General features: G+C 41.9%; 1 protein-coding gene and 1 long non-coding RNA gene across 20 annotated transcripts in view, besides 1 other annotated feature; one reads left to right on the top strand and one right to left on the bottom strand.

Annotated features, from left to right (window-relative positions):
- BCAS1 (brain enriched myelin associated protein 1) overlaps positions 1-20,510 on the top strand; it is a 127,054-nt gene extending 106,544 nt beyond the window's left edge. For 11 of the 19 annotated variants that reach the window (NM_001366297.2, XM_017028111.3, NM_001316361.3 and 8 more), the window contains 2 exons: positions 10,356-10,619; positions 19,055-20,510. In NM_001366297.2, the coding sequence (NP_001353226.1) occupies positions 10,356-10,619; positions 19,055-19,129 (339 nt within the window). In that variant the 3' untranslated portion in view covers positions 19,130-20,510. Of the gene's footprint in view, positions 1-6,553; positions 6,620-10,355; positions 10,620-19,054 lie in introns of all 19 variants that reach the window. The other 8 variants (NM_001366295.2, XM_047440568.1, NM_003657.4 and 5 more) reach the window with 1 other exon arrangement.
- Positions 14,855-14,954: an enhancer, noted in NCBI's record as "active region_18139". NCBI's record gives its function as "activates an Ori minimal core promoter by ATAC-STARR-seq in GM12878 lymphoblastoid cells {active_cell/tissue: GM12878}" and the evidence as "EXISTENCE:reporter gene assay evidence [ECO:0000049][PMID:35858748]".
- Positions 20,470-23,926, bottom strand: part of BCAS1-AS1 (BCAS1 antisense RNA 1) — a 28,093-nt gene continuing 24,636 nt past the window's right edge. Inside the window, exons 3-5 of the long non-coding RNA NR_199019.1 lie at positions 23,453-23,619; positions 22,656-22,766; positions 20,470-21,876 (exon numbers count right to left, since the gene is read on the bottom strand). This is a non-coding gene — a long non-coding RNA (BCAS1 antisense RNA 1). The remainder of the gene's footprint in view (positions 21,877-22,655; positions 22,767-23,452; positions 23,620-23,926) is intronic.

Raw genomic sequence — 23,926 nt, 5'->3', positions numbered from 1 at the left:
CACAAGGGATACAACAGTGAGCGTAAACAGGTGCAGTCTCCCCCGGCGGAGAATAAAACAGACATTTAGTTTTAACTCTATCCTCATATTCAGTGAGCACACACCAAGTGTCTCACCCACGTTATTTCAGCTGCTTCGCAAGCCTGTATGAAGATCCTCACACACTTACTTCTATGCACATGTGTTAATGTCCCCATTGGGTAGATTTCTGGAAGTTGGCTCTAGCAATCATTCTTAGGAAATACTTTTTAGTAACATGTTCATAGCTTCCAAACTGATTCAAAGTCTTCGGATTTATGCAGGAAAGAAAAAACCTGCCCTAACAGCTTGAAAATAGAGACAACATCTGGCCCATCGCTAAGGGTTTTTTGAGCGGTTGGGGATGTTGAGCCAAATAAATAAACGTTTCAGACAAATTTTGGATATTGTTAGCAAAATATCGATTTGTTTAAATAATTGATTTAATGGAAGAGAGAACTCAGCTGCAAAACCTATGCTTTGATTCACCAAATCATTGATTTTCTGCTTTCTATCCTTTGCATTTCCCTCCTTTTTCTTTTTTTTTTCTTTTTGAGACAGTCTCGCTTTGTCCCCCAGGCTGGAGTGCAATGGCACAATCTCTGCCCGCTGCAACCTCTGCCTCCCGAGTTCAAGTGAGTCTCCTGTCTCAGCCTCCCGAGTAGCTGGGATTACAAGCGTATGCCAACACACCTGGCTAATTTTGTGTTTTTAGAAGAGACAGGGTTTCACCATATTGGCCAGGCTGGTCTCAAACTCCTGATCTCAGGTGATCCACCCGCCTCGGACTCCCAAAGTGCTGGGATTATAGGCATGAGCCACTGCATCCAGCTAGAGATCTTTTTCTCTCTAGAAATTTACTGCTCATAAAAATAAAAATAGAGGCCAGGCGCGGTGGCTCACGCCTGTAATCCCAGCACTTTGGGAGGCCGAGGCGGGTGGATTACGAGGTCAGGAGATCGAGACCATCCTGGCTAACACGGTGAAACCCTGTCTCTACTAAAAATACAAAAAACTAGCCGGGCATGGTGGCGGGCGCCTGTAGTCCCAGCTACTCAGGAGGCTGAGGCAGGAGAATGGCGTGAATCCGGGAGGCAGAGCTTGCAGTGAGCTGAGATCGCGCCACTGCACTCCAGCCTGGGCGACAGAGCGAGACTCCGTCTTAAATAAATAAATAAAAATAGGAAAAGTATCATTTTTAAAATAACTATATTTTAGGGAAAGGAAAACAGAATCATGTAAGTCCTAACAGTGCATTCAACACATAGAGATGTAGCACTTCACAGAAATCCTGCGGGCTCCTGCAGGATTTTAAACAATTGCGAGGAATATCTAAGACATCTGTCATGCCCTAAATAGGAAAAGATTCTTATACATATTAATTCAGCTGTATGTCAAGAAATTGAATATTTGAAGTGCTGGTGTATTTTTATAAAGTGAGTGGGTAGAATACTGCATTCATGTGTCCACAAAGCAGGTAGGCAAATGAAACCAGAAAGGTGGTAGATCTAGATACAGTTTTATACTTCGTCAATATTAATAACACCTTACACTTGAAAATGCTTTCCTCCTCCAAACTATTTTCACCTACCTTATTTCATTTACTCCTCCTCATATCTTTCTTTGGACCATTAGATTTGTAAGAAAATCTTTGTTGGAATAATGTTCTCAGGCTTAGAGAAATACTGTGAGCTTTAATAATGGGTAAATTAAAAGTCCAAATGAGGAGGCAGCCATGAAATCAGAGGGTTTTTTAAATTAATTACATTCAATCTAGTAAGTCTAACAAAATCTGTTGAAATGTACTATTGGAGGTGGAAAGAGGGTGGTCTGTGACGGTAGTTACAAAACAGAAAACCGAAAGTCTTCCATATGAAATTCTTCTCTGAGCATTAAAATGTTAATACTGATTTGCTCTTTAAGGAAAGATTTCTGAAGGAAGCATTAATTTGGTCAATTCCTGTCCCTACCAATGACTTGCATTCCTTTCTACCCTAAGAGGGTCTCTGTAGTCGTTCAGCACTTTTCAGTTATCGGCAGTAACAACAATGAGAGCTACCGTTTATTTATTGTCTGCTAGGCACTTTGCACGCAGTATCTCATTTATTAATAGAGAACTCTAGGAAACAAGTGCTCTCTCTGCCCCATGATGGACATAAGGACACAGAGACTAGTGAGTATTTATGGGATTTTTCCACGGTCCGGGAGCTGGTAAGCGGGAGAGCCAGAATTCCAACTCAGTTTGTTGTTTTGTTGTCATTTTGTTGTTCTAAAGCTCACCCTTTGACTCATGTGTAATTGCTGCTTCCTGTGCTTCTGCAGCTGGTATTCTCAGAAAGGATACGAAGGTAGAACAACCACATGCTCCATTGTTGTGATTTCTTTAGTAATGTGTTCTATGGAAGTACCATTTTGATGCATTGAGCTGTTGCACTTACCTAAAATGACAATAAGGGAAAGGAGAAGAAAATTAATATATGGCTTACTTAAAGCTTGCACATAGGTTTTCTAAATATATTTGTCACTAAAACAAAATTTACCTTGGCTGGGGAATTTTGCCTGACTAGTCCAATTCCATTTCAAGTGAGCATTGTGGTAAAATACTAAGCTCAGATCCATTACCTTTGTTGATCCTAGAAATTTTCAGTAGATCCCATTCTTGGATTTGTTTTCATGAGACTGGTCTGATAAACAATATTGCAGATATAGTCACCATATATTAAATTTTCAGCCCAATTCTTTTTCTTTTAAATGTCAATTGTGTTTGAATTATATTGCCATCAAAATACATTAACATTCCCTTCAAAGAAATGTGAACTGACCACCAAACACTTTTGCTAGATTTTTGAATAGCTAAGTGATATACATTGGAGATGGTTCAAACATTCCTCAGAGTATCAAGCTATAGGAATGCATGACAAGATGAAAGAAATAAAAAATGATTTCATTAATATACAAGGCGTGAATGCCACAAGTAGATTCCATCTCAACACTGCAGGCTGAATGCCCTGAGATACTTCACCTTTGACTGTCATGAATAAAAATTAACTCCATGAAGAAAGTTGCTCAATATCACACTGGAAAATCTCTGAAATTACTTCATAGTCTTTAAACTGTTCTTCAAAGTATTAAATAGTCTCTGGAAGAATTTTAGTCTCTTTAAACAGTAACTTTGCTATTTTTGACAGCTGGAAAAAATAAGTTTCTATGTTTATGGTTCCTTTGAATACAGAGTTCAACATGAATTATTCTGATTTGTCTCTGCAAAGAAAAAAGAAAGAAGGGTAGAAGAAAAGGAGGGAAGTGAGGGAGAGAGAGAGGACGAGAGGAAGGAAGGAAGGAAAGAAGGAAGGAAGGAAGGAAGGAAACAGTTGTTATTAATAATAACTGCTGCTACAGAAGTGACTTCAGATGGATTTAATAAGATTCTAAGTGTAAACCCAAACTTCAGTCACCTTTGCATACATACAGCTTTACATGCCTCAAAATAAGCAATAAAGAAAAATCACTGAAAAGTTTGAGATACTCTCTCTCTCTTTTTTTTTTTTTTTTTTTTTTTTTTTAAGAAGTTGAACTTTGTTGCAGTAATCTCCCTGACAGCCTGGAGGTCTGTTTTCATGATTCATGATGTCAGCTGAGATCAGCTGCTGTCAACACAGCCTTCTGATTCAATCCCAATTCTTCTCCAAGGGCTCTCAAAGAAATGGGGGGAAAGAAAGCAAATTGAAACCTTAAATTGACAGAGTCCCTAATGAATGCCAAATTGAAACAACTAACGGGAAGTTTAGAATTCCTGTCTCCTAGGGGGCAAGTGAGAGAACTTTATTCTCTAGAAGGTGGTGGAGTGCTCATGCGTGACTCTTCATGTCCATTCGGTTTTTGCCTAAAAAGCCATTTTGTGCATTTGTTTGTTTTTTGCTGCTCAACATTCCCAAAGGTTGACAGATATGATCCAAAGCCACAGTGTAAAGGCCACTTGGGAATGGGCTTGAGTAGGAAGGGCTCTTACGACACAGCCCGAATTTGGAGGCTGAATGAAATCCTTACGTGTCCAAAGCTTTGGGTGTGATGGGAAGGCTGACAGAGCTGGTTATGAGGAGGGAAGAAATAGCCAACAGTTCATTTCTTTTTCTAAACCTTCTCAAGCAAGACTGGCCTTTGTAGAACAATGCACAAGGCACGGAGGAAGGAAAAACCCACTTTCCATGTAGACAGATCTAAATTTTATGGAGAGGACAGTCTGATCTTTGTTTGTCAATCTTAGTGAAACCTGCACCAATGATGTTCCTCAGTACACGGAACTTCCAGACACCACCTCTTTCACACTAAGCAGTATATTAAAAAGAGCACAACCCTTCTGTAATCCCAGTGCTTTGGGAGGCCAAGGCTGGAGGATCACTTGAGCCCAGGAGCTCGAGACCAACCTGGGCAACATAGTGAGACTCTGTCTCTGCAAAAAAATTTTTTAAAAAATAGCTGGGCCAAGCACAGTGGCTCACGCCTGTAATCCTAACACTTTGGGAGGCCGAGGCGGGTGGATCATTTGAGGTCAGGAGTTTGAGACCAGCCTGGCCAACATGGTGAAACCCTGTCTCTACTAAAAATACAAAAATTAGCAGGGCGTGTTGGCAGGCGCCTGTAGTCCCAACTACTTGGGAGGCTGAAGCAGGAGAATTTCTTGAACCTGGGAGGCAGAAGCTGCAGTGAGCCAAGATCATGCCACTGCACTCCAGCTTGGGCAAGAGAGTGAGACTCTCTCTCAAAAAAAAAAAAAAATAGCTGGACATGGTGGTGTACACCTGTAGTCCTATCTATCTGGGAGGCTGAGGCAGGAGGATTGCTTGACCATGGAGGTTGAAGCTGCTGTTAATGATGATTGTGCCGCTGTACTCCAGCCTGAGTGACAGAATGGGACCCTGTCTCTTAAAAACAATAATAATATCAAAAATAAAGAAGAGCACAGTTGACTCCTGATGAGGGGACATCCCATAAACATCCACATTTGAGTTTGGTCATCCTCCATCTTATCCAAGCTTTTATCATTTTGTTTAATCTAACATTCAGCAACTTCATACAGTGAATGCTCAATAAACGTTTATTGATTGAGTGGTGCCTCTTGCCTTCTAGGGGCAGTATGGGGAGGTGGTTTAGAGTGTGGAATATGGAGTCATTGCCTGCTGTCCAACACTGGCACTCAAACCTGCTAGTTCCATGGTGATGCTAGTATCTTTGAGCTTCCATTTCCTTGTCTGAAAAATAAAGTAATTCCACTATCTTAAGGTTCTGACATAATGAATAAATGAAATAATGCAAGTTATTATCTCATTTAGCACAATGCCCAGCACTTAGTAAGCACTCCACTAAAAATTATCCTTCATAAATAATAATTTGTATTATCTCTAATGTGAACACCGTAGCTCAGACAACAAAGATACATAATATTAATCAGTCAAAAAGTATTTGAGTGCTTTCAATGTTTCTGGCTGTTCTTAGTGCATGTGTTGTGGATTCTTACGGTCTGCTAAGAGAACAGCCATGGCCATAAATAACAGTGGAATCTGGAGTCTTCCTCTTTGCCCCATATGGCTGAAACCCTGCTCTCTATACTCCTCCCTTAGCTGGGAAGAGGAGACATTAAGCAGTGATCAAACGTGTGGGAATTAGACCTGAGTCAATGTTGTTGATAAGAACCGAACATTTTATCACCAGGTTTCTTAGGTATCAGGCACTAAGCATAGGACATTACTAAATGCACCGTTAAAACCACAGACCCCAGCATGAGTCTGAACCTGTATATGGCCAACTTGCTGAGAGCGGTGGTACTCAAACTCAGACAATCCTCAGCACCACCTGGAGAGCTTATTAAAATGCAGATCATTGAGCCTCTGCCTCTGAAAGCTTCTGATTGATTAGATCCAGCCTGGGTCTCCAGAATTTGCCTTTCTAGCAAGTTCCCAGGTGATGCTGAAGCTGCTGGTCCTGGAATCATACTTCTAGAACCATTAGCTTAGAGTGTGGAGTTTAAGGAGTCAAGTCCAACCCCTTTTATCCCTGTCACTGGTGTTGCTGGCTATAGGGGGTGCTAAAGGGTGGAAAATGAAATATTAAACAAAACTCATATCTCTATCAAGGAGAGAAAAAAAAAAAAACAATAAAACACCCACAGCCTAAATATTCCCAGTGGAAGGCTACTCATGGGTCAATTGTTCATTCAGTCTTCATTTAATATGTTCAACTATCTCCTGCTTCCAACATTAATTGGAACCGTCATCATTTATCTCAGAATTGCCTAATTCCAGGATTTAGTACTTTTGTTGTTATTTTTGGAGGCCAACACTTGAATTTAATTAGATCTGGTTAGAAATTGCATGGAAATCTCTATATCCAATGAGTAACATGTTTCCAGTTGGCCTTCCATTTGTCTTGACCCCAAACCTCAATGATAAATGACTGAGATCATCCATTTCAGAACTTTCTTGCATTCTCCACGTCACTGTACTTGTGGCTGAAGGCCATTGTCTGTTTGTTATTTTAGTCAGTGAAAGGGGATGGAGGGATCACCCACTCAGAAGAAATAAATGGGAAAGACTCCAGCTGCCAAGTAAGTGACCTCGAACTCAGTTTGGTGGTGGGATTAGTGGTGTATTCTCACTTCTTCACAGTATACTTTTCAATAAAATTCTCAGCCACAGCCAACTCATTTAATATCTCAGGATTAAGCACCTACTATATGCCAAGAACTATGTTGGGGTCTGCAGACACAAGCATGAACAAGCTAGAGTTCCTCAGCTTTATCCTATCAAAAAACTTTCACACATGTGCTTCCCTCTTTTCTGCATTAAAAATCTCTTCTCACCCTTCACTTTTTGCCATAAATGTCACCTCTTCAAAAAGACCTTCCATATCTGCCTCTCATAACTACATATTGTTCTTTTATTTCATAGCGTCATCACAAATTGTAATAATTCATTTATCTCCCCTGTTTCTTCTCATGTCTGTCTGGAATGTCTGTGGAGCAAGAAGTCTCCTTCTTCTATTTCTCTATCACCTTGCATGGTGTTTGGCAAGTACTAGAATCTATGTCTTGAACAGAATAAAGACATGGAGTCGGGGGGTCACACAGTTTGCTTTCATTATTTTCTTTATTCTAAAGAAACATAGCTATGACATATTTATAACTACATGTGTTCCTTTTTTTAAATAGGATCATGCAGCTGCACTCTTTTTTTAATTTAAAAATACACCTCCACAAAAAATGGCATCAAATATTCTTCTAGTAGTTTTGACAATATAGAGAAGTGGCTACAAGAATGAGTGGTAGACTCAAACTGTCTGGTTCAAATCCTGGCTCAGCCACTTTTTTTTTTTTTTGCTGTGTGACTTAGGCAAATTGCCAAATCTGTCAGCACCTCAGTTTCCTCATCTATATAAAGGAGCTATGAAAAGTACTTCCTTATGGGGTTGTCATACTTAGATGAATCAATACATGTAAAACACTTAGAACATTTCTGGTATAGAGGGCTCAATACATGTTAGCTACTGTATTAGTCAGCACGGGCTGCCATAACAAAATGCCATAGGTGGTTGCTTTAAAAGCAGAAATTTATTTTCTTGCAGTTCTTGTGGCTGGAAAGGATAGGATTAAGGAGTAACCAAATCAGCAGGGTTTGGTTCCTGGTGAGGACTCTCTTCCTGGTTTGTAAATGGCCACCTTCTTGCTTGTGTGTCCTTACACGGCAGAGAGAGAAAGAGAATAAGCTTGCCAATGTCTCTTCTTATAAGGACACTAATCCTATTGGGGCAGGGCCCCACCCTATGCCTTTGTTTAACCTTAATTACTTCCTATTCCAAATATAATCACATTGGGAGTTAAGGATTCAACATATGCGTTGGGGTGGGGGCACAACTCTATTGTTAACAGTGTCTATATGTTACTATTACTATTATGCTGCTGATAGGGAATTTCCATCTTATAATGTTGCCCATATCACACTCACAAATGGACGGTAATGACTGTAAATATGTTTTTGTATTTTTATTTCCATAATAATTGGTTTATCCTACATTTTTAAACAGGAAATATATTGCTTTTTACTATACTCTTCATATTTAAGCTTTTAAGACAAGCTTAAATATGATGGTATATTTTGTCTGGAATTTTACAGTGAAGGAATTATGCCAATAATCTTGGTGATTCTAAAATTGGAATGACATCCATACAAATCCAAATAAGCTAGAAACATCCCACCTAGGAGTGTTTTCAGAATCCAATTGGGAATTTTATTTTCCGGAGCCTTGGATTCAGACTTGAGAACACTGGTGTGTCCTTTCCATTTTTAGCTAATTTAATTCTCACAGCACCATAAGGTGTCATTTCTTTTATTGCTCCCATAGAGATGAGGAAACTAGGAGGTCAGTTTATCCTTGGTCACACAGCAAGGTTATGGTGGAATTAGAAACAAACCAGGTCCTTCTGACTCCAGACACTGAGTTCTTAGCCACTCACTGCATCTTAAAATCTTCTACACAACAAAAACAGTTAACAAGGCATTTGAACTGGGATCTCTGGTTTCTGGCCTTTCTGAAGAGCATTGTGGTGAGAGTTTCTGTTTCATTCTAAGGAGAGTATCTGCTCTGGGATATCTATTGTACTTGGACATCCATATCTTAGCATTTGCTGCAACTCTGACAGTTGGGGTCTGCCAGAAGTGTTCAAGACATATATTACAGAAGAGCTTCTCAAGGTACACTGGATGCCTGTTGCTTCTTTCTCCAAGGACTTCTGCCCTCTGAAGAGCACCGGTGGAGGCCTTCTGGACCGGGGAGTCTCTGCTGTTTGTCTTCCCGCTTACTTCTAAGGGGCGTGCATGATTCACTGGTGTGAAAAGAAAGTTCTCCTACAGTTGATGCCTTCTCCATCAAAGCTGCTACCTTGTTGTAGAACTTTTTACCTGGGTACAGTACATAACTTCATGAATCATGCTTATACACATGTATCCGGTGGGTCAAGTGTGTTTGCCAGTTGCCACAATCAGGGCTTTAAAACTTTTGAAGTCAATATTTAAAAGTTGACATTTTGCATTTTTTAAAATTTAATTTCAAGGTTGTCTTGAAACAACAGAAGCTCTGACCACACTGGGGCTGCAAGCCTACGTGGTATCTCTTGGCTGGATCAGAGCAACTGTTGCCCTTTGGACAGGGCATGTAACATTCAGTCTCCCCTGCTCTAAATTTTCTCCCCAACATCAAAGCCAGCCTTGCTTGAACTGGTGCTTTTCTTATACTGGAGAAATATTTTTTTGGACCTTTGTTGCTTTTGCAGCTGGAGAAATAAGATATCCACATGGTTATTCTTACCCCAGCCTGCATTTACTAGATTTTTGGATTTTACAGCCTCATCTCATCAAATTATTGGAAGCATGTGGGATTGTAAACCTTTCAGTTTGACAAAAAACGATATACATTCCAAACTAATAAAACAATCATCTCTTTTACCACCATTTCATGAAGCAAAAGGACAATTTCACACCAAAAATTAGGGTAGATGTAATTATGAAGAAAAGAATGGGCATCCCCAGGAAAACACTCGCATGTGGTTGCAAGTGGGAGTAGCCCCTTCAAAGCTGGCTTAAGCATAAAAGGGCTCCAGGAACAGCTAGATCTAGGAGGCACGCATGATACCATCAATGCCTGGTCCCTCTCTCTCTCTCTCTCTCTCTCTCTCTCTCTCTCTCTCTCCATTTCTCAGCTGTGATTTTCTCTGTGTTGGCTTCCTTTTCGGGGAGATTTTCCCTAGAAATATTGGTGGTTCTGGAAGCTCCAGTCTTACATTTTCACAGCTTCAGATCTAACAGAAAGGGAACCAGCCTCTCTCTCATTTCAGCAAAGCTCTGAGATTAGCTCCAGTGTTATCTGCATTTGGCTATGCTGAGCCAATCACAGCTGGCCAATCATATACAATGCTCTGATTAGTCAGGCCTAAGTCACATGCTCTTGTCTGGAGGTGGAAATAGTTTGCCTGGACCACACGGAGTAGATGAGGAAGAAGGGTGTTTCCCCAAGGAAAAGCCAAGTTCTGGTTCCAGAATAAGGGATAAAGAGTGCTTTCTGGGATAGCATAAAATGTATTAATGAATTATTAGATAACTAAATAAATGTCCCCACCATGACTTCATAAGTGCACATTTTACCTTTTTTTATATTCATTTCACCTAGGATTCATGAAAATGTAGATACCACCCAACATTTGAACATCTCTGTTTTAACATATTTATTCCCTTGCTATTGAGAGTTGTCCTGCAGCCACTAAAAATGTACTTTGTTTGAAATTGCTGTAGACATCAGACTCCACAGAAAAGACTATCACACCGCCAGAGCCTGAACCAACAGGAGCACCACAGAAGGGTAAAGAGGGCTCCTCGAAGGACAAGAAGTCAGCAGCCGAGATGAACAAGCAGAAGAGCAACAAGCAGGAAGCCAAAGAACCAGCCCAGTGCACAGAGCAGGCCACGGTGGACACGAACTCACTGCAGAATGGGGACAAGCTCCAAAAGAGACCTGAGAAGCGGCAGCAGTCCCTTGGGGGCTTCTTTAAAGGCCTGGTAGGTGGATTTTTTTTGCCTCTTCTTTCTGGGCTCTCTCCTTCCCCAACACCATCTGCCCCAGTCAGTTTTTCAAATTCTACATGTGGCTCTTCACACTGGGATCCCGGGTCTATCACTCAGGGTTTTTGAACTGCTATGTGACTTCCAGCAGGTTCAATCCTTCTCCATTTTACAAGCTGAGACCTTGAGCAAATTATTGCCTCTCTGAACCAGATTTTTTATCTGTTCATACATAATGATGCCTAACTCATAGAGTTCATGAAACAGGTGAGATACTGCATCTAGTCACCTAGCACAGTGCCTGAGACCTAGGGAGCAATCAGCATGTAGAAGTAATCGTCATCATCACCATCAACATCATCATCAGTTTTGTTCAGTGTCTTGTGCGTAGCAGATGCTCTGGGTAATATTTGTTGAATGAATGAATGAATGAATGCATTATTGGCTGATTTTATTTACATTATATTATACCAATTTGACGTGTTAAAAAAATTAGACAAATCAAATTTAAACACACTTTATGTTGTGAGCAAAGAACAGTTCATGAATTGGGCAGCACTCAAAACCCAAAGAGGTTCAGAGAGCACTGCCCAGTGGCATGAGCAGTAAGATTTTATAGGCCAAACATGGAAGCAAAGTAGAAAACTTATCTGATTGGGTACAATGAGGTGTTTGCCTTATTTGGTCACGATGTGATGAGTTGTCTGCCTTATTTGGGAATGGTCTGATCAATTGGTTGCCTGTGATTGGCTGAAGCTCAGCTATTTGTGATTGGCTGCAACATGGCTATTTGTTACAAAAAAAAGGATACTCATAAGGTAGGTTTTGGTTTGTTTACTTACTAAATGTGGTTGCAGTTTGTTACATAGACACTGGGAGTAAGGAGACTGCCTCAGGCTAAAGGCCTCCTGCTTATTTAATTTAACAGGGGTATAAATGCACAATTGTGTTACTCCATGGACTATAGAATCAATGGCTGCTAGATGCAGAGGAAATTTTTTTACTGCTTGCAATTTTAGGCAGACTGGTGGGGAGGTGTTTTAGATGTGCTTATTTTACTCTCCTCTACAAAATGGAAGCCCCTCTTCACCACTGGACTCCCAGCTCCATGAGGGCAGGGCACCACCTTTCAGGTTCAAGGCTGTATCTCAAGGACTTGAAATAGGACTGCATAAACAGCAGGTGCTTGATAGACAAAGGAATGAATGGATGAGATTAAAATAATAGATACCAAAATATGATATATAAAGTTGGAATACATTACTTGAAATTGTTACCCTTCGATAAAACATTGTACTCAACTTTAACCACACTTAACAATTTCTACTTGCATGTTTAAAAAATACCCACTTTGAGAATGGAGACACTGAAAGTGGGTATCCACTAATCATTTGATTTACATATGGAAACCACTGAAATTTCTTCCCTTCCTTCCTTCCTTTTTTCCCTTCTTCCTTCTTTCATTTTTCTTCCAAAAATATTTATTAAGCATTCCATCTAAAGCACATTCACACTCATAGCTTCTCTCTCCTATCCCACAAGATGTAATAGTTCCTTATTAGCTTCTTCTTTCTGGGTGTAGTGCAGTCTTCAAACTAATCATGTAGTCCTTGCAGTGGTTTCATTGATGTGAGGAAGGCAGATGTTGATGTAAAGCAAGAATGCCAGTTTGTAGCCCTGAGAGAAGGACTTCACCCAAGTGGGTGAGGCTGTATTGGATTTGCCAACGCAAGTCTTCTCAAAATGTACTGTGCACACGAATCACCCAGGGATCTATTAACACACATTCTGATTGAGTAGTTTTGGGGTCCAACTTGGGATGCCACAAAGCTCCTGATTGATGCTACAAAAGCTGCTGATCCAGGGATCACACTTTGAGTAGCAAGTTCCTAAAGGACCAGGAAAGATGTTGGGGAAAGTATTTGGATTTCTTGTAGTTTACTTCTTTTGTTTTTTTGAGATGGAGTTTCGCTCTTGTTGCCCAGGCTGGAGTGCAATGGTGCAATCTCGGCTCACCGCAACCTCCGCATCCCGGGTTCAAGCGATTCTCTTGCTTCAGTCTCCCGAGTAGCTGGGATTACAGGCATGCGCCACCACGCCTGGCTAATTTTGTATTTTTAGTAGAGACGGGTTTCTCCATGTTGCTCAAGCTGGTCTCGAACTCCCGAGCTCGAGTGATCCGCCCGCCTCAGCCTCCCAAAGTGCTGGGATTACAGGCATGAGCCACCATGCCTGGTCTTAGTTTACACGTTTTTAACCCATGATTTATTCATTCATTTAAAATGAACACCACCCAGGGAATGATTTACACTGTGGCTTCTAATTATTTTAATAGAAGCCAGCCTCTACAATAGGTACGAAGGCTGAAAAAGAAAGATGGTATGGAAAAGTTCAGATGATTTCTAATAATCTGGTCATTCACTTAACAAATATTTGTAGAATATTTAGAATCCTGGCAGTGAGCTAGACCAGGGGTATTAAAAATGCAACCCTTGTTTCTATAAATAAATTTTTATTGGAACATTGCCATGTTCATTCATTTACATGTTGTCTAGCTGCTTTCACACAAAAACATGAGGGTTGACTAGTTGCATGACTAGGGTTGACTGGTTGGGTTGACTAGTTGACTAGACTGCATGGCTCATAAGGCTTAAAATTTTTGCCAACTGGCCCTTTGCAGAAACATGTGCCAAGCCTTGAACTAGGCGCTGGAGGTATATTCAGCAAACAAAGGGGACAGGGTCCCTGACATCAGGGGTTCATATTCGAAGGGGAAGCATGCAGCTAAAAAGTATTAGTAGATAAGTTTAAAAACAAGGTTAAAATTATTAAAACTACAACGTTAAAATTACAAAATTAAAGACAAAATTTGCCAACAAAATTGTAGGTCTGGGAGATCACTGAGGGAAATAAACAAGGTCCCGCGATAGAGTTTGCCTGAGTATGGATGGGGGGGTGTGTGCTACTTTTGCCTGAGTGTGTCTGGGGGCGGGGTGTGCTACTTTTAATCGGTGGATCCCAAAATTGTCTCTGAGGAGATACATCTGAGATGAGACAGGAAAGGTTAAAGGTGCCAGACAGGAAGAGAGCAAGGCTCTTTCTTCCAGGAGGAGGGGACAGCCCTGGCAAAGGCACGGGGGTGGGAATGAGCTTAGTGAGCTTAGTACATTTCAGGAAGAGAAACAAGGCCGTGGTTGCTGAGGGTGGAGAGGTAGGGTAGGGGGAGAATGATGGAAGTAAGATTGGAGCCGTGGGCGGGGACCTCCTCATGCAGGCTGTACGGGCTGTGCAAGGAATGCAGACATAATCCTATCTGAGCAGGGAAGCTACTCACAGATATTAAGTAAGAAGTCTTGGCCCCTGTTGATAACATTCGAAGATTTTATTTTGCTGCTGTGGTGGAGAATGGCTGTTGAAGGTCATTAGGAGCTAGTTAATACAGGTCATATTTCTTGGGAGAGCTGATGGAGATTGGCCTGGTGATTCCTGAAGAAGTGACAAGAAGTGGACAGGTTTGAGACACTAATTACAGTTCTAGACACCGAGTCCCTCCTCTGGGACCACACTCCTTTACAGACCTCATCTCTTTAGGATGGCAGCATCCCTTCAGGCTGGGACTGCTTCTGCCACACCTCCCAGACACATAAGCCAGGCCTCCAAGAAGCTGTGTCTTTTGCTGAACATTCCACAGGTTGTCAGAGACAGAGGCAGCATTCAGCTCAGGCCCCCTAGACCCCAAGTCCTGCATCGTCCCAGTGTCACAAGGCCTCCAGCAATGATGGAGGACGGAGGGGGGCTTCCCTGCCGCTTTCCAAAGACCAAGCCTCGAAGACTTTCAAGCTGGACACATTCCCCAGGGTTGCCTGACCGCCTTCCTGGGAGGGGAATGCTGGCAGCCGAGCCTGTCACCACCCACAGAACTATTGTGGTGCCTGTTACCCACAGGAAATGAGACACACCGCAGGCCGATCCCTGCATGATCTTTGTCTCACAGTGACGTCCTCGTTAGTCAGGTCCTTTTTTCCTCCTTCTCCATCATGCTACTTGAGTTCTAACTGAGAGCAACCCACTTGGTTTTCAAAAATCTGAAAAGAACTGGAAGGAAGCCCTTGGCATTCACAAAGTCCAACTGTTTGAAAACATTTTCCTTTCTTTTTGAGCAAAGGGACTTTTTTGTTTACAAAAGAAAATGTCACAAAACCTGGGTGTGTGTGTGTGTGTGTGCGGATATATGCATATACGCACACACAGACACATATGATAAAAGTGAAACTATTCTGATTGATGGAAGACTGGGTTTCTCCCTTCCCCTAAGCACCACTTCTTTGATGGCCCTTTCCCAGCCTTCCCCTTTCCCATTTTCATGAGCCCCTGAAGTGCTAGATTGTGTGCAGCGCAATCTGCAGGCAGGTTTAGCAGGTGAACAAATGGAGGCTTGAAAAGGGAAGACATCTGTCCACACTGGTGTGGGCTGAACCGAGGCTTGTGACAATCAGCGCAGTCACTGCAAGGAGCCTGAGACCGAGGGTTGGAAAGAGCGGGCAGTGAACAGAAGAGAGCCGGGGACAACAGGTGAGCTGAGGGCCAGATTCCAAGTCAAAGTGGCCAGGCCGTTACCGCATGACCTAGTCCTAGGTCATCTTGGAGCCTCAGTTTCTGCATCTGTAAAATAGGGTGAATAATAATCACTGTCCACCTCACTGGGCTGGAGAGAGAACAGGTAAGAGAATGGGTCTGGTTTGGCCTTGTGAACTGTGACGTGTAGTCCTGGTATATAAGGCAGGAAAGGGGTTGCATTTATGTCTCTGGCCTCCAAGGTGGAGTCCCAGTGAGGCCAGAAGGGCATGTGTATGTATGAGGCCAGTGAGTCAGGTGTGGTCTGTGGCTACCTGAAGGGCAGGTGCCCACCTAAAGGGGGTGCCCCTCCTCAGCACCAGCCACATGTTACCTTGGGGGACTGCAGACCCATTGTGGCAGGACCTGTCCATTTAGTCAAGAGAAAATAACAAAGGTGGAGAATTTTTAAGAGCAAATACCTAATTTTTAAATGCCAGCATCTAATTTTTTTTTAATAAATGAAGAAAATGCTTGTACAAGTTCATCTATTGCAAAGTTCAGGCCCGTGGCAGCCACTTGGCCATCTGAGTTTGCTGTTTAGTCCATCAAGCCCCAAGATCAAGCTCATGGAACCTAAAGGATGGAAACCTCGGGGAAGTAAGCTTTAATAGAGGTGAGTTGACTGGGCAGGGTGGAGCCTGGGTGAACCAGGATCCACGGCAAGGCACGCTGGGCAAACAGAGGCAGGATGGATGGCTGCCACCCGTGGCCAGCCTGAGACCAGGCTCTAGACACTTGCAAGAAGCTTGTTCCTGGACTTGAACCTAGCTCTCATCTAGTGGCTGAGTGAGCTTGGACCTGTCATCTTGCTGAGTTTCAGATACCAGATCAATGAAGTGAATGGTGCTGACGTCACAGGGTTAGCATGAAGATGAAGGGCAGTAGTGTACAATGCCCTTAGAGCAATGCTTGTGAGGTTTAACTAGTCAGGAAAGGCTATTTTGTGAGTATTATTTAGTTAGCCCCTGCCCTGGGTTGTAAAGGTGCAGAGATGAGTCGGGCACCGCTGTGCCATGGGGAGTTTGTGCTCTAATCACAGCAACAAGCGATTACAATGCACGGTAAATGGAGGGGTTGGGGAATGGCCTTTACCCAGCTCAGGGTTCAGAGATCGGGGACAGAAGCCGGCACCCCACTTACTGGCAGGAATTTGACTGAAGTGGCTTGGGCTCGCTGGGCTTCAGCAGCCTCCTCTGTAGCCTGAGAGCGACAGTGGCGTCAACCTCGTGGGCTGCAGTGAGGACCGGGTGGGATGGCAGTCTAAGACCTCACACAGATGAGGCAGCAGGCTCTCAGCGGTGAGGGACCGGCCAGAGGTCATGCAACCAGAAAGGGATGGAGCATCCCCAAACCCACAGCTGACTCCTGAGCCCAAGCTTTTGGTATTTCACGGTGTCCTGGTCATCTCTTGATGCCCCAAAACTATTAATAACACAATGTATTGTCTGCAGTAGGTCCTCAATATATGTTGTTGAATGAAGTAGTGAATTCAACTACCACCACTAAAAATAATCATAACTCTTTTATCACACTTACTGTGTGACAAAGATTGTTCAAAGTACATTGCATATACTAACACTTAATCTTCAAAACTACCCTGTGAATTCCCATTTTATCAACGGTAAAATTAAGGCTTAAGTAGAGGGTTAAGCAATTTGACCAAAGTCACCCAGCTAGGAAGTGGCAGGTCTGGCGTTCAAAGACCAGCAATCTGATTCCTTGGTAAATTACATGAAATTACACTACACTATGTAGTAAATACAATATACTATACTATGCTAGATTATACAGGGCACTACACAGTCTATGTACTATATACATATACTATATATGTGCCCTATATACATCATGTATACTAAACTACACTCTATTTATTATGCTATAATACACTCTATATACTATATTACATATTATACGATATCATGTATATTCTACTGCATTAAACCATATGACACTATGTACATATACTAGACCATACATACTTTGTGATAGTACATTATACTTCCCTTTCCTATACTATATACTATAGTGTTCTGTATATATCATACTATATTGTACATTATGCTTTGCTATACTTTATTTACTATACTATACAGTGGACTAAACTATACTGTGCTATAGTTACCATACTTGACTATACTATATATGTATACTATATATACTATAAAATATACACTACCCTATATTATACTATCCTATATTACCTTATACTACACTATACTATCTATATATACTATGCTACAATACGTTATTATACTACTCTATACTATACTCTCTCTATGTGTGTGTGTATATATATATATATACTGTATACAATATATAAATCTTATACTGTACTACCCTATACTGTCTTATAGTATAAAAGGAGGCCCACAATTGATCCATGCAGCAAGGTGGATGAATCGCACATCCACTATGCTACATGAAAGAAGTTAGTCTGAAGGGCTGTGTATACTCTAGGATCCCATGATATGACATCCTGGCAAAGGCAGAACTCTAGGGATGAAAACAGATCGGTGCTTGCCAGGGTCTGCGGTGGGGAGCGGTTGACCACAAAAGGCACAAGAAAGATCTGAGGGGGGACAGAACCATGTGACATGTTGATTTGGATGGTGGTTTTAGGGGGCTATTTGTGTTGGTCTAACCTCATAGAACCAAATACAGAAAAGGTTAACTTTACTACTTATAAGTTATACTTGACAGAAACGGTAAAGTAATAATAATAATAATAGTACTCAGGCTAGGCATAGTGGCTTACACCTGTAACTCCATCACTTTGGGAGGCCAAGGTAGAAGGATCACATGAGCCCAGCAGTTCAAGACCATCCTGGACAACAAATTGAGACCCCGTCTCTACAAAAAAAATTTTAAAATTAGCTGAGTTTGGTGGTGTGCACCTGTAGTCCAAGCTACTGGGGAGGCTGACGTGGGGGGATCATTTGAGCCCAGGACTTCAAGGCTACAGTGAACATAGTCCCACCACTGTACTTCAGCCTAGGCAACAGAGTAAGACTTTGTCTCAAAAAAATAAAATAAAATAATTGTATCTGCCTGACAACATTCCTTCACCCACATTCAGTCAATGTTAAGGCTAGGTACCATGTGCTAGGAACCTGCAAGGCACTGAGACACGCAGAATCCTTGCAGCTTCCAATCTGGTGTAGAAGACAGATGTTAGACAAATAAATTAGATAATAAGATCATTTCAGAGAGTGGTATGTTCTGAGAGAGAATAAAATAGGGTTTGGGATGGGGGGTTGGGGGAAGGATAGCATTAGGAGATATATCTAATGTTACATGACGAGTTAATGGGTGCAGCACACCAACATGGCACATGTATACATATGTAACAAACCTGCACATTGCTCACATGTACCCTAGAACTTAAAAGTATAATAAAAAAAAAAGAAGAAAATAAAACAGGGTGGTGAACCTAGATGGTAACTGGGGAGGGAGCTAAAGTGAGGTAGAATTAGTACCCCCTAGGTACTAAGTACATTATAAGCATGAACTCACTTTATCTTGGGAACAACCCTCTGAGATAAGTTTGTCATTTCCATTTTAAAGATAAAGAAACCAAAGCGCAAAGAGATGATAAGTAATTTGTCCAAGATTTCACAAAGCTAGAAAGTCATGTAACTGGGTATCGAACCCGGGCATCTGACTGGAGACCATTCTCTTACCCAGCACTGAGGAATGAGATATATTAATTTAGCCCAACACCTAGCACAGAGTAAGTGCTACATAAATGGCCATTGTTGCTGTTGACATTACAGAGCTTCAATAGGCTGCCACGTCTTTCTGTTTTTCTCCAGGGACCAAAGCGGATGTTGGATGCTCAAGTGCAAACAGACCCAGTATCCATCGGACCAGTTGGCAAATCCAAGTAAACAAATCAGCACGGTTCCCACCAGGTTCTCCTGCCACCAAGATGTGTTCTCCTTACTCCATCTCCTCCCCAAACACGCTCCATGTATATATTCTTCTGATGGCCAGCAAATGAAATTCTGCCTAGAAATTAAGCCCGAGCTGTTGTATATTGAGGTGTATTATTTACGTCTCTGGTCCAGTCTTTTCTGGCAAATAACAGTAAAGATGGTTTAGCAGGTCACCTAGTTGGGTCAGAAGAGTCGATGATCACCAAGCAGGAAAGGGAGGGAATAGAGGAATGTGTTCGGGTTAAGTGATGAAAATGGCAGTGGTGGCCGGGCGTGGTGGCTCTCGCCTGTAATCTCAGCACTTTGGGAGGCCGAGGCAGGTGGATCACCTGAGGTCAGGAGTTCAAGACTAGCCTGGCCAACATCATGAAACCCCGTCTCTACTAAAAATACAAAAATTAGCCAGGCATGGTGGCACACACCTGTAGTCCCAGCTACTCGGGAGCCCAACGCACGAGAACCGCTTGTACCCAGGAGGTGGAGGTTGCAGTGAGCCGAAGTTGCACCATTGCACTCCACCCTGGGCGACAGAGCAAGATTCTATCAAAAAAAAAAAAAGGCAGTGGCAAGTAAGTTATAGAAGAGAAATGCTGCTAGAAGGAATTAAGCGTTGTAGTAAATGCGTGCTTATCCTCTAAGCTTGAAGAAGGGAGACGAAAATCCATTTGTTTAAATTCACATCTCAAGGAGGGAGAACCCGGGCTGTGTTGGGTGGTTGCCAATTTCCTAGAACGGAATGTGTGGGGTATAGAAAAAGGAATGAATAAGCGTTGTTTTTCAAATAGGGTCCTTGTAAGTTATTGATGAGAGGGAAAAGATTGACTGGGGAGGGCTTAAAATGATTTGGGAAAACAATTGCTTTTGAGGCTCAGTGACAACGGCAAAGATTACAACTTAAAAAAAAAAAATAAATAAAAAATAAAGGAAGTTGCACGGTTATTTTGCAACACAAGGGGGCGGCAAGGTCCCCATTTTTATCCTGTAATACTGTATCCCTAACAAAGATTTGGTCTCTGCTATCTTACATTATTAATGTTTCTCAGATGGCTGAGGGGCTCGCTTCATCTGTTCCGTCTGACACTTATCTCAAGTGTGTCTGTCATTCCTAATGTTCTCAGGATGTGCTCTGATAAAACCCTCCCCATAACCTCAGTTAATAAAAATTTACAGAAGACTTCTCAAATACCTGAGTTGTTTTTAATACCTGTACAAAGGAGTAAATAGGACCCTGAGTCTATTAAAATGTAATTCAAAGTAGCATATGATTGACTGACAGTCATGTAAACTGTATCTTTCTTTTTCTGATTTAATAAAAAATACATTTACTTCTAAAGTATCTTTTAATTTTCAACTTCAAAGCAGTCCCACTCTATATCTGAGATGACTCTAACTTCTACATTATAAAATCCATACTCTTTCTCCATTATCTTCTTTGGAAGATCATTCTCTCCCAGATCTTCCCGGATTTCCTTGTATATGGGCACACACACACACAAATGTGTGCAGTTGTATGTTTGCATGTACACACACATGCATGTATAGAATAGTGCTGTCTTAGGCCAGGTTGCTTGGAGCAGAGCCTGAGATGGGGATTTGGACGCATAGGATATACTGAGAGTGGGCTCCGAGGGAAAGGGAGTAAGAGAAAAAGAAGAGGGCAAGAAAAGAGTTGGGCAAGGGTTGGTTTCAACTGGAGCATGAATTGCACCACCCAGATAGTTTGACCTTGAGTCAAGGGAGCCAGCCTTTGAACCCTGGTAGGTGAATTCTGGGCTGCCCTGGGAGGTGGGGGGATGGGCAAGCGGCCCCCATTGAGCTGAGAAGCTGGGATGCCTAAGTAACTGGAGGATGAGTGCATTGACAGTGTCCACTACAGATACACACCTATATGTTCAGATACATATTTATACCCATATTTGCATATATATGCACATATTCATATATATAAATATATATCATGCAGGAATAGATCCATGCACTCACACAGTCATATTTACATACATGCAAATAAACACATGTAACTAACACAGATCCACACACACACATTGGCTCACACAAATCTATCTCATATGCAATTCATCACACATTGATCGGAGATAAACATTGAATATACTCTCCTGATGTGGATGGACCTCGACTCTAAGGACAAGTTTGCTGCTTAGGCAAATTACACCACGGCTTTGGCAAATAGGCATTTGGAAAATGTGTTCAGAAAAATATGGTATCACTCAAAACCCAAGCGTAAGTGAGGAGGGGATCCTGAGCTGCTGGGGCCTATTAGCTCCCAGCTTGGACAGGTCAAATTCGTGTTTCCAATAAAGACCAGAGGTCTTTTCCTTGCAGCTGGGTTAGTTTTTTCAAACCTCCTGACCATACCTCGAGATTACTCACACCTGTGCCTCACCCAGTTGAGAACTATCTCGTGCCGCTTAGTATCAGAATGCTTAACTTGGCATGAAGCAGGAAAACAGCACTTGGGGAAGCCATTGGTGGGAGGCCCATCACTGCCATCGTCAGAGCACGGGGTGATTCAAGGAAACCAGGCAGCTGCTATTCCTTTGTCTCCAAACACCGTGGGGGTTGTCTGCTGCAACCTTTGGTGAGCTCCTGAGCTGCAGTCCATTGAGGAAGGTGACAGTATCATTTGCAAGTTTCACCTCGCTGGGTACAGGGGCTTTTTGCCCAGATAAGAAATGCCCCTAGGCAGGAGGAAGAGAAACAGACTGAGTAGCCCAGGCCAGTTACTTAGCCAGTTACTAAGGCAGATGGAGCCCTCCCAAGCCCCCACTCAAACAAAACAAAACAAAATAAAACAAAAAAAAAGCCTCTTTGCTGAGAATCTCTCTGCAAAGCATGCCAACAGTTTTTATAACTGGTTTCCTATGCTCCTGGGCCAAAAAAGAGAATAGTCTTTTAATGAAATTGCTTTTTTTTAAAAAAGCAAGAAATGCCAGAGAGAAGTAAAGCGCATGACTTACTGGGAGAACTCTAAATTCAGTTATGGCTTAAGAAACAAGTTAATACTCCATTTTTGTGTTTGTGTGTGTGTGTGTGTGTTATTGTTGTTGAGATCCCATTTCCAATGCATTTACAATAAATACTAATGCCCACCCCTTATGCAGAACTAGAGTGAAAAAGAGCTGAAACTCACCAATAAACCCAAGAAAGCCTTTAGGACACAGATTCCCAGAAATGCCATCAGACAGAACAAGCAGTGGGGGAAATAAGCAAAGCAAAGGTGGCACACAGAAAAACATGATTAAAAGAGAAAGAAGAATTAAGACCTGGGGGAGGGAGCAAAAATGACTTTCTTATTATTATTATTTATTTACTTATTATTTATTTTTAGGTACACAGGGAAGTGTGTCTTCTCCCATGTCAAGAAGAAGTGGCCTTTCCAGGAATGGAGCTATTGAGCTGAAATGGCTGCCACTGCGCGTACACACACACACGCGCACACACACACACACACACACACCTCCCTTCCAGTTCCAGCTGACGGTGACTTTTTGACTGGTAACCATAAAAGAATTCATTCAAAAGGGCAGTTGTTCCCAGCAGCCAGTGAGGTCCTTCCTGCATTCGTTGTCTTGGAGAAGGAGGCACATAACAAAATAGAAACCAAAATGGGAAGGAAAAGAGAAAGAAAGTGAAATTCCTGGTCTTTGTTGTATGTATCCCCTTGCTTTTTAGATAAATTATCAGGGGTTTAAACACACACTCTCTCCCCTCCCTCCTCCCACTTCACACACACTAGATTGTTCTTGTCTGTTTGCAAACAGTCCAGAAGCACTGGGGTCTCATTAAATTAGATTCTAAGTGTCTTAAAGAATTAGATTTCAAGAAACCAAGAATCTGTGTCCTTTCCCTTCTCAGAGTGCCTGGAAGGGTGCAGATTTCTCCAATCTGAATCTGACAATGTTATTTCTTATGTCAGATAATCCCAAGTAGATCTTATACCTTAAAAAAATAAAATCAGCTACACTACCTACCTTACAGGGAAGGAAAAAGAACTAATTCCAATTATTAACTAACCCAAGATACAAACACAGGGGAAACTAGGGAATGTGCTTTGCAGCAATGTAAGATTATAGGGGTTGGTTTTAACCATCCTTTGAATGTCCCTCTTTAAGCCTTTTTAAAGGGCAATTTTGCACGGTGAGTAGAATTAGGCTTCTCCGTGGTCAAGATTTTGTTCACTCTATCAGTGCAAATTAAGTGGCACCGGCCCACTGGAAATTATAGTCTCCATTAGGAAGAAAAGAAATTACTTACCGAGCAGCAAATTCTCTAAATTTGTAATTCAGATCTTTAGTGCAGAATGCCGGTCAGGATCCAGCCCTTTGCATAAATTGGTTTTCTGGGGAGTTTAACCCCTTAGCCTCTGTTGCCCTTTTCTTGAATGGCATTCACGCAACCCTCTCCATCTCCTGGCCCTTTAACTGGCCCCGGCAGAAGTTGCAGTCCACAATTTCACAGAAGTAAGGATAATACATTATCACACATTACCGTTTATAAAGTGCTCTGGGTACAATCTGTAATTTAAAGCTGTATTTCCCTCACTGAACTTAAGTGCTTCCTTTGTTACATTTCATTACCGGGGGACTGGCATGCACCTGTATAGATTTTTTTTTTTTTTTTCATTTTTTGTTTTGTTTTGTTTTTCCAAATAAGCACTTCTTGACAAAATGGCCCCCAGCTGCACTTCTGCTAATGACAGCCATGGAAGGGCTGGTTCCTTACGTGATC

The sequence above is a fragment of the Homo sapiens genome, chromosome 20 (genome assembly GCF_000001405.40).
Source record: "Homo sapiens chromosome 20, GRCh38.p14 Primary Assembly".
NCBI classification, from domain to species: domain Eukaryota; kingdom Metazoa; phylum Chordata; class Mammalia; order Primates; family Hominidae; genus Homo; species Homo sapiens.
The sequence above is the reverse complement of the archived record's forward strand: the minus strand, read 5'-3'. Positions and strand labels throughout refer to the sequence as shown.